Source organism: Homo sapiens, chromosome 10 (assembly GCF_000001405.40).
Source record: "Homo sapiens chromosome 10, GRCh38.p14 Primary Assembly".
NCBI lineage: Eukaryota > Metazoa > Chordata > Mammalia > Primates > Hominidae > Homo > Homo sapiens.
The window spans coordinates 33,392,883-33,407,387 of record NC_000010.11 but is presented as its reverse complement, the minus strand read 5'-3'; the positions used below and the strand labels follow the sequence as shown (position 1 = coordinate 33,407,387).

The window sequence follows — 14,505 nt, the reverse complement described above, 5'->3', positions numbered from 1 at the left end:
TTCCAGCTACTCACCAAAATGCCACCTTTGGTCCTTTTAGGAAGCTCAACTGTGTCATTGCCATCTGCTGCCAGACCTTTGCCTCTGCTGTGCCCTGTACTGGAACACTCTCCTTTCGCCTTTGTGAGTCGTTTAAGGCTCAGCCCAGCTCCCTCCTGTTCTCTCAATGCTCCAGCCCACACTCACTCAGTTCTCCTTGGAACTTCTCAAGCACTGTAGATCCTCTGCAAATGGAAATTGAACATTATGGCTTAGTCTTTTTATGAACCATTTAGAAGGTCCAGGGATTATAGTAACTTGTGATTTGGTGGAGGCACAACTTAACGAGTTAGTAAAATCAGATGGCCCCTAATGTATTAGTCTGTTCTCATGCTGCTAATAAAGACATACCTGAGACTGGGTAATTGATAAAGGTAAGAGGTTTAATGGACTCACAGTTCCACATGGCTGAGGAAGCCTTGCAATCATGGCAAAAGATGAAGGAAGAGCAAAGGAACGTCTTACATGGCAGCAGGCAAGAAAGAGAGTGTGCAGGGGAACTCCCCTTTATGAAACCATCAGATCTTGTGAGACCTATTCACTACAGGGATGAGAACAATATGGGGGATACCACACCCATGATTCAATCTGGGGGAAACCACACCCATGATTCAATTATCTCCACCTGGCCCTGCCCTTGACACATGGGGATTATTACAATTCAAGGTGAGATTTAGGCGGGGACACAGCCAAACCATATCACATGATAATGCTGATTATTTGGTTATTTATTTATCACTTAGTCAGTTACTATCAGAAAGTGACAAAAAAGTCCTCTCAGATTTAGTTCATAAGTATTCATAATTATTGCTATTACACACTTATACATGTAATATGGCAGAGTTCATTTTAGTTGCAGGATTAATTTGAATAACATTGTATAGTTTTTGGTTCTGCACTTACATAGTTTTAAGTTTTAAATGAGACCCTCGTGCTTTTCAATTATATTTTATAGAATTTTAGAACAGAGAGGAGATACATTTTATAAGGAGTATTTTCAAATCGGGGAGATTTATGAAGATCTAGAAACATAATTCGACCATGTTAAAAGTCTACTTATAAGATGCTCTATTCAGAACCCAGAGCTTAGCTTTTAAAAAATTAAAATCTGATAGTTTCACCCATGTTTTTGGTCCTTTCTAGCTAGATCTCTTGGTAGATCTTGCAAAGAATGTTCTGCAGAGTCTTGAAAACAAGGACCCTGCTCTATTCATCTGCAGGAACCCAAGGCTTAGCACACAGAAAGAACTCAATACATGTTTTGTTTATTTGTTTTGCTCTACTGCTCAATCCATTTTTTATTTTCTTCAGTCTTACCTATAGTAGCTAATGTACAACAACTGAGTGACAAATACCTGTTATTTACGGATAGCTTTGTTCAATTGGGTGCATAAATGACAAGCAGGAGTGGAAGCTTAGAACACAGAGACCATGATGATATTTTGAGCCACTATTATTTAGATTGTTGCAGGGAGCTTTTTGTTTATCTTAAAATCCCTTCAGGCACAGAATTTTGTATTCTACTTATTTTTGTATCTCGCTTAGTGTCTAATATGGTAATGCATACCTATTTAGATAGTTAACAAATTCTTATTGCATGCATTCCATTTTCAGAGTTTCCTATATGGTGAATCTGAGAGCTCAAATAGCTCCCTGGAGAAGTCAGCCTAAAACAGGATGGGGGAAACTGACATCAGTGCAGGGTGATACTTTATTATCAGGCTTTGGACTCTGAGACATGCTACTTTTTGCCAGTTGGATTAGCGATGTGGCAAATCCCATTTCCAGAGCTAATATTAAATTCTCTATCTTTATGAGCATCCCTTCCCCAGGTCCCCTAAGTCCAATAGTTTGGCAGTTTGGAGTAATGCAAAACAATGCTAGTGCTTGGTCTTTGTCTGATTTGTGACTAGTTTCTCTTGGTTATTTTTGTACTTCAGCATTTCATTTACCTCCTGAGACTTTGATGCTGGGCACATATTCTATTTATCTGAATTTTAAAATGCTACCATCCTGTGTGAGAAAAGATAAGTTAGCGTTCTTTTTTTGTTCTATCTGTGGAGCTGTTCTTTGTTTTACTAGTAATGCGTATGCTAGAGAACAATTTGAATGAAATCTGTTCTGAGTATCTGAAGGACATATGCAGATTGGAATTCATTCTTTAAGTGAATTTTCCTAAGTCTGGGAAGATCTCGCCATCCTAGCTATACATATCCATGCTTTAGCCTTTGCGTGCTATAGTAGGCTGAATGTAAAGTCCCACAAAGATGTCCATGTCCTAATTCCTGAGACCTGTCAATGTCACCTTACATGGTAAAAGGGATTTGCAGATGTGATGAAGTCAAGGATCTTGAGATGGAGATATTATCCTGGATTATGTGGGTGGGCTTAATGCCATCACAAGAATCCTTCTAAAAGGCAGGCAAAGGGAGACCTGTCTACAGAGGAGGAGAAGGTGATATGATGCTGGAGCAACACACTATGAAGATGTGTGAAGGCACCACAAGCTAAGGAATACAGGTAGCCTCTAGAAACGGAAAAAGGCAAGGGCAAATTCTTCCCCCAGAGCCTACAGAAAGAAACAGCTCTGCAGACACCTTGATTTAGCCCAGTGAAAGTGGACTTCTGACTCCCAGAACTGTAAGAGCATAGATTGTGCTGTCTTAAGCCTCTGGATCTATGGCAATTTGTTACGGCAGCAATAAGAAGCTAATACACATGCCATGTAGTGTAAATATCCAGCTCACTTATAAAAGGACAGCAGATCTGAGAAGCTCTCCTTTAAACCGGGCCTTGAAGGCTGAGGGGTTCAACAGCCCAGGCAATGTTTGACTCCCCTTTACAATATTCATGGCAGTGATCTCCAGGTGGAGGGAGAATTATCCACCCAGCACACGGTCCATTTCACCTCTGAAAGCTCCATCAGGGGAAAACATATTACAGAATAGTTTTCCCCAAGTGAACCTGAATGCAATGGAAAGAGAGAGTCAGGCAGATAGGTTTGAAACCTAAAGGCACCTGAGGATGCGCATCTATACAATGAGGTTAAAAGCATGCACCTCTCAGGGTTGTTGAAAGGATTCGATTATCTCAGTATAATATGACAGCACGTATTAGTCACTCACCGAATGATAGGCACAATAATTTTTATTGTGAACCAAGTCAGTTTTTCCTATAGTTTCCCTCAATTGGACAATGCATACTTTACAACCATACAGAAAAAATCTAATCCTGTCTGTTACGTATAAAACCCTTCAAATATTTAGAAACAGCAGTGTCACCTGTGAGACTTCATCTGTTCCAGCTACATCTTCCCAGATACCTCAGCCAGCGCTCATAAGTCATGGTGTAAAGCTCTTGCATTATTTTCCAATCTCAAACTCTATCCCACCCCGAGTGTAGAAATCAGATGCATGGATGAGGATAGGATTCATCTGAGGGATTCGCGGCAGCTGTGAAAAGGAGGACAAGACATCAGCACTCATATTCTCCAACTTCCCCACCTCACTGCTGTGCTCCAGGTGCGAGGCATGGACCCATCGGTGGAAACATGCCCTGTGATAACATCTGTCCACTGGCATTTCAAAGATGGTCTGTCTGTAGCCCTGTACCCAGAAAATGGACTGGGCTCAGGAGGAGCAATTTGATAGTAAAAAAAAAATATATATATATATATATATATATTACACACACACACACACACACACACATACATATATATATAGGCCAGGCATAGTGGCTCATACGTGTAATCCCAGCACTTTGGGAGGTTTGAGACCAGCCTGAGCAACACAGCGAGACCCCATCCCTCCAAAAAATAGAGAAATTAGCTGAGTATGACTAATTAGCCTGTAGTCCCAGCTACTCAGGAGGCTGAGGCAGGAGGATTGCTTGAGCCCAGGAATTTGAGGCTGCAGTGAGCTATGATTGTGCCACTATACTCCAGCCTAGGTGATAGGGTGAGACAGGGTTAAGTAATTCAAGCCCCCTAAATAAATAAATAAATAAATAAACACACATACTTTTAATAAGCTCCCAAAATAAATAAATAAATAAACATACATACATTTACAAACAGTCTCTGAAATGCAATGCAGTGGCCTCCCCAGTCTTCCCTTCTAGGAAAGCAAGTGGATGGTGGAATGTGGCAAAAGTTGCCCCTCATTCTGCCTTTCTCATTATGTCATTGCCCTGCATCCAACCCATCAATAACATCTTCAGTTGGCTCAGGCCCACCTCTGCAGCCCTCACCTCCTGCCCCCTGCCACAAACCACTGTTAGCTTTGCAAGAGCCACTTGCACTCTCTCGCACCTGCACCTGTCTTGCATAATCTGCCCCCTCACTATGTCTGCTGAGCACATTCCTATTTCACCATCAAAACCCATCTCAGAATTCACCGCATTCAGAAGCGCTTCCTTCACCCCTCCCACCCCATTACCACCACCGGGATGAAGCAGACCTCCTCTGCACTGGAGTAATACCATGTACTTGCTGCCATCATAAGCCTTACTTGTGTCCTATTGTAGTTGATGGTTATTAATCTCTCTCCCATGTGAGTTTTTACGAGCAGGGATTTTTCATTCCTGTATTGCAGACGTAGTGCAGAGCTAGACTGTGGAAGACACTCAATGAATACATGCTGAATGAAAAGAGAGATACTCCCGAGTTTTTCAGCATTAGATGTGCCTTTACCTAGCCTCTCTCGAACAGAGCATCTGTCATTATGCCACCAAGAGGGCTTCTCACACATGCATCCCACATGGTGTTCATGAGTGCTCAGCGCAGGATGTTAGGAGACTAGCCTGCTCCAGGTGCTGGACCCATTCCAGGACAGCTTCACTAGTGAACAAATGCCCACATAGACCCAGCAACCCTAGAGCTTCCAAAGCCAGAAATGACTGACCTGGGAGAAACAACCCAGAAAAATCCTTTGAGCTCTCTATACCAGCTTGTAGCTCACAAGCTAGAATTCAGCCTCTGATTGATGCTGGGGGCTTGAATTACTTAACCCTGTCTCCCCTTTAATCAATTAATCACTTACAAAGAAGGTGAAATAATACAAATGATTATTTATTTATTGCTTTGATTCCCTTCTTCAAGCATTCTCTAGACTAGTCCATATTTCAGTGCGTGTCAGCTCTCTTAAATCATTTCTTTTGACACAAGCTGATTTCTGAATTTGGTATTTATTGCAACCCACTTCATGCATTGCTCTGTGGGGTATTTTTTACTATAGCATTTTAAAATATGTGTTTATTCTTCCACAAGACTTGTTACTAATTTGCAATGTATATAATGTATATTTATTTGATTATTTTTGTTTAAAAAAATAAGTAGGCAAAGCATGGTGGCTCACACCTGTAATCCCAGCACTTTGGGAGGCTGAGGCAGGTGGATTACTGGAGGTCAGGAGTTCGAGACCACCCTGGCCAGCATGGAGAAACCCCGTATCTACTAAAAATACAAAAATTAGCCAGGTGTGGTGGTGCATGCTGGTAATCTCAGCTACTTGGGAGGCTGAGGTGGGATGATTGCTTGAACCAGGGAGGCAGAAGTTGCAGTGAGCCAAGATCACACCACTGCACTCCTGCCTGGGCAACAGAGCGTGACCCCCCAAAAAAAGTAGCAAAGCCTTATACAATTCTTTAGGTTATAGGTTATATCCTGTGCTTGGAAGGAAACCAGTGCAAAGGGGGAAAGGGAGGTTACTATAAGTTAGCATGGAAAAGCAGAAAAAAAATTATCGTATAATTTCTAGCAAGAGTCCAGTAATTCTTCCTGTTTCCCTAAATTAACTAATTACTAAGGCTTGATTGTATTGTTGTTTAACATTTTGTAGAAATGCTGAATCAGCAGTTATGATTTATTAGCGAGGGATACAATAAATGCCTGCCTCTTGAACTCATTAAATAAAAAACACAATTAGCAAATCTAGGACATGTTTAACAGAAAACACCAGAGGAGATCAGCAGTACCAGGAGCTGAAAGCTGCTCTTTTTTTTTCTGAGTGAGAAGGTTTTGCTGGTTACAAATCAAACACAGACAACTGTACAACTATACTATTGTGGTCCCTACCTGCCATGCTACCTAAGCGCTTGGCCAACTGTTTCTTTTAGAGATGTACAAACAACAAACTTTAGTGGGGCTTAACACTAAGCTTTTTTGCATAAGCACAGGACGTGTAAGATCAGCTTAAGCAAATCATTCCTCTTTAGCCCCTGTAAGGTATCACAAGAGACTAGGAAATAATCAGTGACTTTGAGAAAAAAACTATTGGGCAGGACCAATTCTATTTGCTTTCCTGATAAAATGATTTATCACGCAGAGTATGAGTACGCTATCTAAAAATGTATTGGAGATTTAATAAGACTTTTCATTCTCTTCCATAGAAAAATCTCTTAAATACAAGGTAAGATTTAGGTTACTTTATAGGAAGATGAATAAACAAGAGACTAGGAATGAAAAACTGCTAGAATATAACAACCAAATTAGAAAATGGGCAAAAGACATACACAGGCACTTCACTCAAGAGGATATATAAATGGCAAATAAGTACATAAAAAGTACACCCCACATCTTTAGTCATTAAAGAAATGCAAATTAAAGCCACATTAGATATCACTACACACCTATTTGAATGGCAGAAATTAAAAATATCAAATGCTGACAAGGATGCTGAGAAACTGGATACCTCCTACATTGCCAATGGGAATATAAAATGGCACAGCCAATCTGGAAAAGTGTAGGCTGGTTTGTTATAAAACTAAACACATGCTCATCCCAAGATCCAGCAATTATGCTCCTGGATATTTATTCCAGAGAAATCAAGAGTTCTGTCCACAAAATAACCTGTGTATAAATGTTTGTTGCTGCTTTATTCCTAACAGCTAAAACCTGGGAATGGCCCAGATGTTTCTGAGTGGGTGAATGGTGAAATAGACTGTGGTACATCTATACTGTGAATTACCACTCAGCAAGAAAAAGGAGCTTTAAACCACAGATACACACAACTTGGTTGGATTTCAAGGGAGTTATTCAAAAAAAGGAGAGCCAATATCAAAAGGTTATAAGCTGCATGATTTTATTTATAAGACATTTTTGAAAAAAACAAATTATAGAAATGAAGAACATGTAGTAGTTAGTTGCCAGGGACTAGGGAGTGGGAAGGGAAGGGAAATGGCTGTGGCTATCAAAGGTAGCCTAATGTGTCCTTGTGATGGACCTGTTCTATATCTTGACTGTAGTGATGGTCACACAAGTCTACACATAAGAAAATATGGCACAGAATTAAATACACATATGCATAAATATGTGCATGTAAAAGTGGAGAAATCAGAATAAGATTGGCAGAGTGGGATGGGCATGAATCTATAATCCCAGTACTTTGGGAGGCCAGGACGGGAGGATCACTTGAACTCAGCAGTTTGAGACCATCCTGGGCAATGTGGTGAAACCCCGTTTCTAACAAGAAATACAAAAGTTAGCAGGCATGGTTGTGCATGTCTGTGGTCCCTACCTGGGAGACTGAGGCAGGAGGATAGCTTGAGCCTGGGAGGTTGAGGCTGCAGTAAGCTGACATTGCACTACTGCACTCTAGCCTTGGCAACAGAGCGAGACCCTGTCTCTCTCTCTCTCTCTCCTCTCTCTCTCTCTTTCTTTCTGTGTGTATATATATATTATATATACATATATCACAAGTAAGAAATTGATATTGATACACTCTGATTATATATATATCAAAAGTAAGAAATTGATATTGCTACACTCTGCATATATAAATATATAATATATAATATATAAATACATATGCAGAGTGTAGCAATATCAATTTCTCTTTCTATAAATATATCTATTTATATAGTATATATTTATTTATATATACATATGCTGAGTGTATCAATATCAATTTCTTACTTGTAATATTTTAGTATAGTTATATGAGATGTTAACATGAGGCAGAACCAAATAAAAGGTAAACAGGATCTCTCTGTATTATTTCTTACAACTACAATTATTTCAAAATAAAAAGTTTAAAAACTTTAACTTTACAACAACACTTGTAGGCTATTGATTTAAGGGACTGAGAAAAAAGTGGGGTAAGGGAGGATTCACTCTCTTTCTGTCAGACTGTTTTTGAGCTGTGTCGTTGGTCTCCTGCACTTAGACTGGAATTTACACCCTCAGCTTTTCTGGTTCTCAGGCCTTCAGAGTAGAACTGGAATTGTACCACCAGCTCTTCTGAGTCTCCAGCTGGCAGACAGCAGGTGACGGGACTTCTTAGCCTCCATGGTCATGTGAGTCAATTTCTTATAATAAATCTCTCTTTCTGTGTGTGTGTGCGTGTATGTGTGTGCATGCATGTGCTTGTGTATACTCAGCTGGCCTTGTGATTTGCTTTGGCAAATAGAATAGGGCAGAAGCGAGCATGTTGGTTCTGACTCTAGGCCTTGAGAGGCCTCATGTGCTTCCACTTCCTCTCTTGGGGCTCTGCGCAGCCACTACGTGAAGGAGCCAGGCTGGCCTATGGAGGCCAAGAGACCACATGAAGGAGAGCCCAGCTCTCCTTGTGAGGCCATGACAGATAAGCCCACAGTGAGTCAACACCCAAGAGAGGTCAGAATAATTCAATCTGATGTGAAGTTAACATCAGATACATAGTTGAGCCAATCACACCCAGAAGGACCACCCAACTGACCTGTAGGCTCATGAAAAAAAACTAAATGATTATTATTGCATGCCACTGAAGTTTGTTTTTTAATAAACAACATGATTTTGGTAATAAAGAATGATCCTGATCCTGAAATTGGTACCAGAAATGGAATGCTGACATAACCAAGATTGAAAATGTGCAGCATTGATTTTAGAACCAGTCAGAGGGTGGAGGATGGAGAGGCCATAAGCACATTATCAGCAAAGGCTGGAGAAATGGTGAGGAAATTGTTTTTAAAGCTAAAAAAATGGCAACCTGCTTTATGTAACGGCAAAAGGACTTGTAAAACTGTTGGCCCTGCACATTATGCTAACTGACAGAAGCTAGTCACAAAAGCCCATAGATTGTAAATCTTCATTTATATGAAATGGTCAGAATAGGCTAATCAATAGAAACAGAAATTAGATAAATATTTGTCAGAGGCCCAAGGAAGGGAGTAGTGTGGAGTGACTACCAATGGGTACAGAATTCGTTTTTGGAAAAACAAAAATTTTATGAAGTTAGATAGTGGTGATGGTTGGACAACCACTGAATTGTACAATTTAAACAGTGAATTTTATAGTATATGAAATATTTCTCAATAATGCTGTTATTTCAAAGATAATTCTCACCTGCAGCAAGATATATAGATATTTCAATACAGAGATAGAGATATAAGATAGGAAGATAAAAATATGCCTAACAAATGTTTGCATTTGGCTAAGGAGATTCCAGGCAAAATGTTGAAAGTGTTAGCTGGTTGCTTCTTGCTGCATATGACAACGAACACCAAGGAAAGATGAGATAAAGAAAGAACTGGCCAATTTGTAAATAGAATGACTTGCTGGATTAGAAAATATAACAGTTACTCATTTGTAGTCTCTTCAGCCAGCAGAAGATTCTCAAAGTAAAATATAGACTAAGACATAGATCAAATCAAGGGTGTGGCTGTATGATCTCTTGTTGAGGCCTCAAAAATAATTAAAGTAGACCATCTGGTCTGGACCAAAGACTTCTAGAATATTAATGTCATAATTTCACAAAAACCTAGTCTCAATGTAGCAGTAGGTAAATCTAGAGAGCCAGGTCAAGAAAACAATTGTGGTGTTGGCTTCTGCCCCATTGAAGTGGGTAAAATAATCAGATTAGTAAGAAACCCACTACATTGTTTAGGAAATTGTACAGGAAAAACATGTGGCCAGCTTGGACTAAAAGGGGCTGAAATTGTTCAAAATGTACAAAGGGCTTTGGGCTTCCCACTTTCAATAGGCATAAGTAAGTTAAGACAGACATTTATCTGCTAACATGGGCTATTTATTTAAATGTAGCCAAGAAGAGTGATGAGAAAAGAAAACCATCTCAGGGGGCACAACTAGGAAACCACAAGGTGGAAGAAGAAATTTGTAGAAAAATAGACCAAAGAACCACTTCCAAGGATCAGAAGCAAGGTTTAATTAGGGAACCAACACTCCCTTTTTCCCACTCCCACAGTTGGGGGATCTGGTGACATTTACCCAGTGGGATTTCAGAATTGCTATGGACCAGTTACTGCTAGTGTCTCCTATTCCTCCTCATTTTTAATGGGAGTATTTACCACACTTGTCCTGTGCCTTGTGTCATCATTATATGTTGGGTCTTTCTGAACAAGTACTAACTTGACTCTATATTTCACAGGCCCCAGATCAAGACGCATCACATCCAAGGAACCATGTGCAGAATTGATATGGAGTTTGATGCCATGATTGAATGAGAGTTTGAGGGTCTTGGGAGGGTGCGAGCATATTTTGCATGTAGAAGGGATGTGAATAATTAAGACCAGAGGACAGACTGAGACAAATTAATTACACCTGTTGAACCTGTGCCCACATCCTTTGCAATGTGACTTTGTTGCTCTTCCCTTGGATTTGGTTGAATTTGCTAATTGCTTTTACCAATATCATATGGAGGGAGTAATGCTATGCCAGTTCTGTGCTTAGGACTTGAGACCTTTCACACTTCTACTTTCTCTTGGAATCCTGCCTCCTCTATGAGAACAAAGTTGACAAGTATGCTAGAGTATGAGAGACAAATGACTTAGTTGTCACTGTCACCCCATAGCTATGACCGTAGAAATCCACTAACCCTGAAAGCAGAGCCACCTAGCCAACCTGTAGCTAACTGCAGACATATACTGGAGCACAACCAAGACCAGACGAACCACACAGCTAAGCCCAGGCTAAATTGCCAGCCTGAAGAATTGTGAACTAAATAAATGTTTGTTGTTTTAAGCTACCGAGTTAAGGGTGGTTTCTTATGTAGCAATAGTTATCTGATATAATAGCTAGCAGAAACTGAGCACTTAATATTAGGCATTGTTTTATGCATTTTGCAGGTATTAGCTCATATATTCCTTATAACAATCCTATAAAGTTGATGTTATTGTCATTGCTGTTTTACAGAGAATGAAACAAAGAGAAGTGAATTGATTTGCTAAGGTCACCAACTAGCTAGTAGTAGAGCCAAGATTCAAAAGCAGACATTCTGGATCTAGAGTCCAAGCTTTTAAACAATATAATGATTGCTTTGAGCAAGAAGCTTAAGGACAAAGACTGGTTTATTTACCTTTGTTTTCCCAATGCTTGGCATCAAATAGGAGCTCAAGAAATATTGAATTTTCCATTTGTATCAAAATGCATGGGCATGTCCTCAATTTCTGTATGTTACTAACCACCAGGAGCTACTACCTGCAGAATAAAATTCAAATCCTTTAACATCTATCTACAATGTAGCCAACAATGTAACTCCCACTACTATTTCTCATACATACCTTGGCAATTCTCTCAGCCGTGTCCTCTGGTCATAATGTTCATGTATTCAGAAAACATTGATTAAGTAATTACAATGAGGTAGGTAGTGGGTCTGGTGTTTTTTATGGATCAGAGAGGGCTCAGTTCTTACGATTGTATGAAGTAAGTATTATACCCCGATTTTTAAATGTGCACAAGTATATTATTACTTAGGATACAAGTGCAGTTATATAGAGGGAGCCAAAATGCCAGTGACTTAAATTTAAAAAAAAAAGTATTTCTCTCATTTAATAGTCCAAATACAGGCAAGGTTGGAAGCCCCACAAGGTAGCAGATTCAGGCAATTTCTGTCTTTTTTCTACATTAGCCTCAACCCACCACTTCTGTTGCCTGGTCCAAGATTGCTGAATCAGTTCCAGCCATCCATGTGGGTTCTGGCCATCAGGAAGGGGAAACATAAAGGAAGAACAGAAACTTGCCCATATCCCTTTATTTCATCTCCCATAAGCCAGAACTTTGTCACATGCCCACATCTATCATCAAGGGAGGCTGGGAATTATCATCTTAGCAGAGCAGTCATGTGCCTAGTTTAAAGAATGTGTGTTTCCAAGGTCAGGAGATAGAGACCATCCTGGCCAACATGGTAAAACCCCGTCTCTACTAAAAATACAAACATTAGCTCAGTGTGGTGGTGCGCACCAGTAATCCCAGCTACTTGGGAGGCTGAGGCAGGAGAATCACTTGAACCCCAGAGGCAGAGATTGCAGTGAGCTGAGATCATGTCACTGCACTCCAGCCTGGCAACAGAGCAAGACTCTGTCAAAAAAAAAAAAAAAAAAAAAAAGAATGTGTATTTGACTGATCATGGTGGCTCATACCTGTAATCCTAGCACTTTGGGAGGCTGAGGTGGGAAGATCACTTGAGCTCAGGCATTCAAGACCAGCCTGGGCAACATAGCAAGACTCCATCTCTACAAAAAATTAACCAGGTATGATAGCTCCCATATGAATATCCTACTTACCTACTCATTTCACAGCTCAGAAAAATGGCATTTAGCAAGATTAGGTAGCTTGCCCAACACCATGCAACTAGCAAGAGTCCAAATTGAGATTTGAATCTGGACCCTGCTTCTAAAGCCCTTCTGCTCTGTCCATCCTAGACAACTCAGCCACAGAGTCATGATTTGCATACAGCCCTCCCATGCACACAGTCAGCCACTTAATTATGCCACTGAAACAATACCTTTGGGAATTATAAATAAGAATTATTTTCTTGTCCTCATTCTCCAGGATTTTCTGGGCTATTTGACTCCATTGACATCCTTTTTAAGATTCACTCTTCTCTTAGCCTTATGCAAGAGTTTCCTCTCTGCAGATCCTCCTCTTCCCCCTGGAAGCCCCTTTCTCTCTGTCCTTTAAAGGCAGGTACCCTGTGAGCCTATTCTCTGATCTCTGCTCACCCCTCCTTGTTCCTTCTCTCTTAAAGACCTCATCTACTTCTTGGAAGCTCCTTTCTGGGCAAATTTCTGCAGCATCTTTGTCTTGGTCCCTACCTTTCCCTCAAGTTCCCTGGGGTGTATTCACCTGCCTATCAGACACTTCGTCCAAGTAACTTCTCCCAACGCAGACTTGTTATGTCCAAAATGAAACATCGTATCTTTGCCCCTCCTCCAACCCTACCTACAAAGCTAAAATTGTAACAGAAATAAAACGACTTCTGCTTCGTTTCGTTTTTATATTAGAGTGTCGTCTTTTTCTGTATCACCCAAGTCCCAAATGCAATAATTGTCTTTGCTTTATTTTTCTTTCCAGTCCACAGACTTCCCTTCCTTGCTTTTATGGTTCCGTTCTTTCCCACTCCATTGCTACCCCTGCGTCACACCCAGACGCCCGTGCCAGGGCATTGACATTTCCCAGGTCTCTCTGCTGCCCCAAAGGCCAGCTTGACAGCATGCAGCCACTACAGTCACAGGTGACCTCAAACTCAGGCATTTGGGGTTTAATGCTTTGTGATCACTGCCTTGGAATCCTGAACAATTTTACCTTGACCTTGTGCTTTGTGACTGAAGTCTGGTGGGACACTGGAGCATGCACTGGGACTTGGAGCCTCAGCTCACATGCAACCCTGCCTCCCTGCAGCTTTCTGTCTCCTCTCATGGGTTGCTGGACCCCTGTGCTTGGTTTTCTGCATTCCACTGACCTCCTCTTCCTTGCTTCTGCAGCAATAGCCACTGCCCTCCTCTCTCAGCGGGGGTAGGCACAGGCTTCGGGAAGGACACGTGCCCTACGGAGTCTCAGGGCTTCTGCCATCCCTGACCTGGGCTGCCTGTATCACAGAGCCCTGGACAGGCAACTTGGCAGGGGTAAGCCTTTTACTAGACCCAATCCAAGTACCCAGCACATCCAAGTGCAACACCCTTGAGGTCACTCATCTGCCATGGGTTGCAGCAGCACACCTTGGGGAGGGAAGATGCCTGGCTCAACTTCCCCATGGTCGGCCAGGACAAAGCACACTGGACTAGGGCAGGGTGGGGTCCCCAGGTACCCATGGGAGACTGCACTTTTCCTGCAAGCGTCTTGTGCCCAAGGAAATTGACATTAAATAGGGAAACAAAACAAAACCAACAACAAAGTGATAGGTGGAGAGAGACTGCAGAAGAAAAAAGATATTGACTTTCTATTTTAGGAACTTAATGGAAATTTTTTCCCTCCTTTTTGAAGAAGGGACCCTGTTTTTCATGTTTCACTGGGTCCTGTAAATTATTCCTAAAACACCCCTTCATTCTAGCAACTCCCTTTCACTTACTACGTAACCTAGCAAAATGTAAAAATGCTAGTCCATTAGCCCTGCAAGTAAGTTACTCACTGCTCCAGACACCTGAACCTCTCTAACGCCATCTCTCCCAATCTCTTTTCTTCATCCTTCCTGCCTACCTATGCTGCTTCGAGCTCCTGCGGGAAATGCCAGCCCACATCCCCAGCCCTATCTG

At 41.1% G+C, this 14,505-nt stretch overlaps 1 annotated feature.

Moving 5' to 3' along the window:
- Positions 13,786–14,286: an enhancer, noted in NCBI's record as "H3K4me1 hESC enhancer chr10:33682030-33682530 (GRCh37/hg19 assembly coordinates)". NCBI's record gives its function as "activates a minimal SCP1, AML or CMV promoter by ChIP-STARR-seq in primed H9 embryonic stem cells {active_cell/tissue: H9 hESC(primed)}" and the evidence as "EXISTENCE:reporter gene assay evidence [ECO:0000049][PMID:30033119]".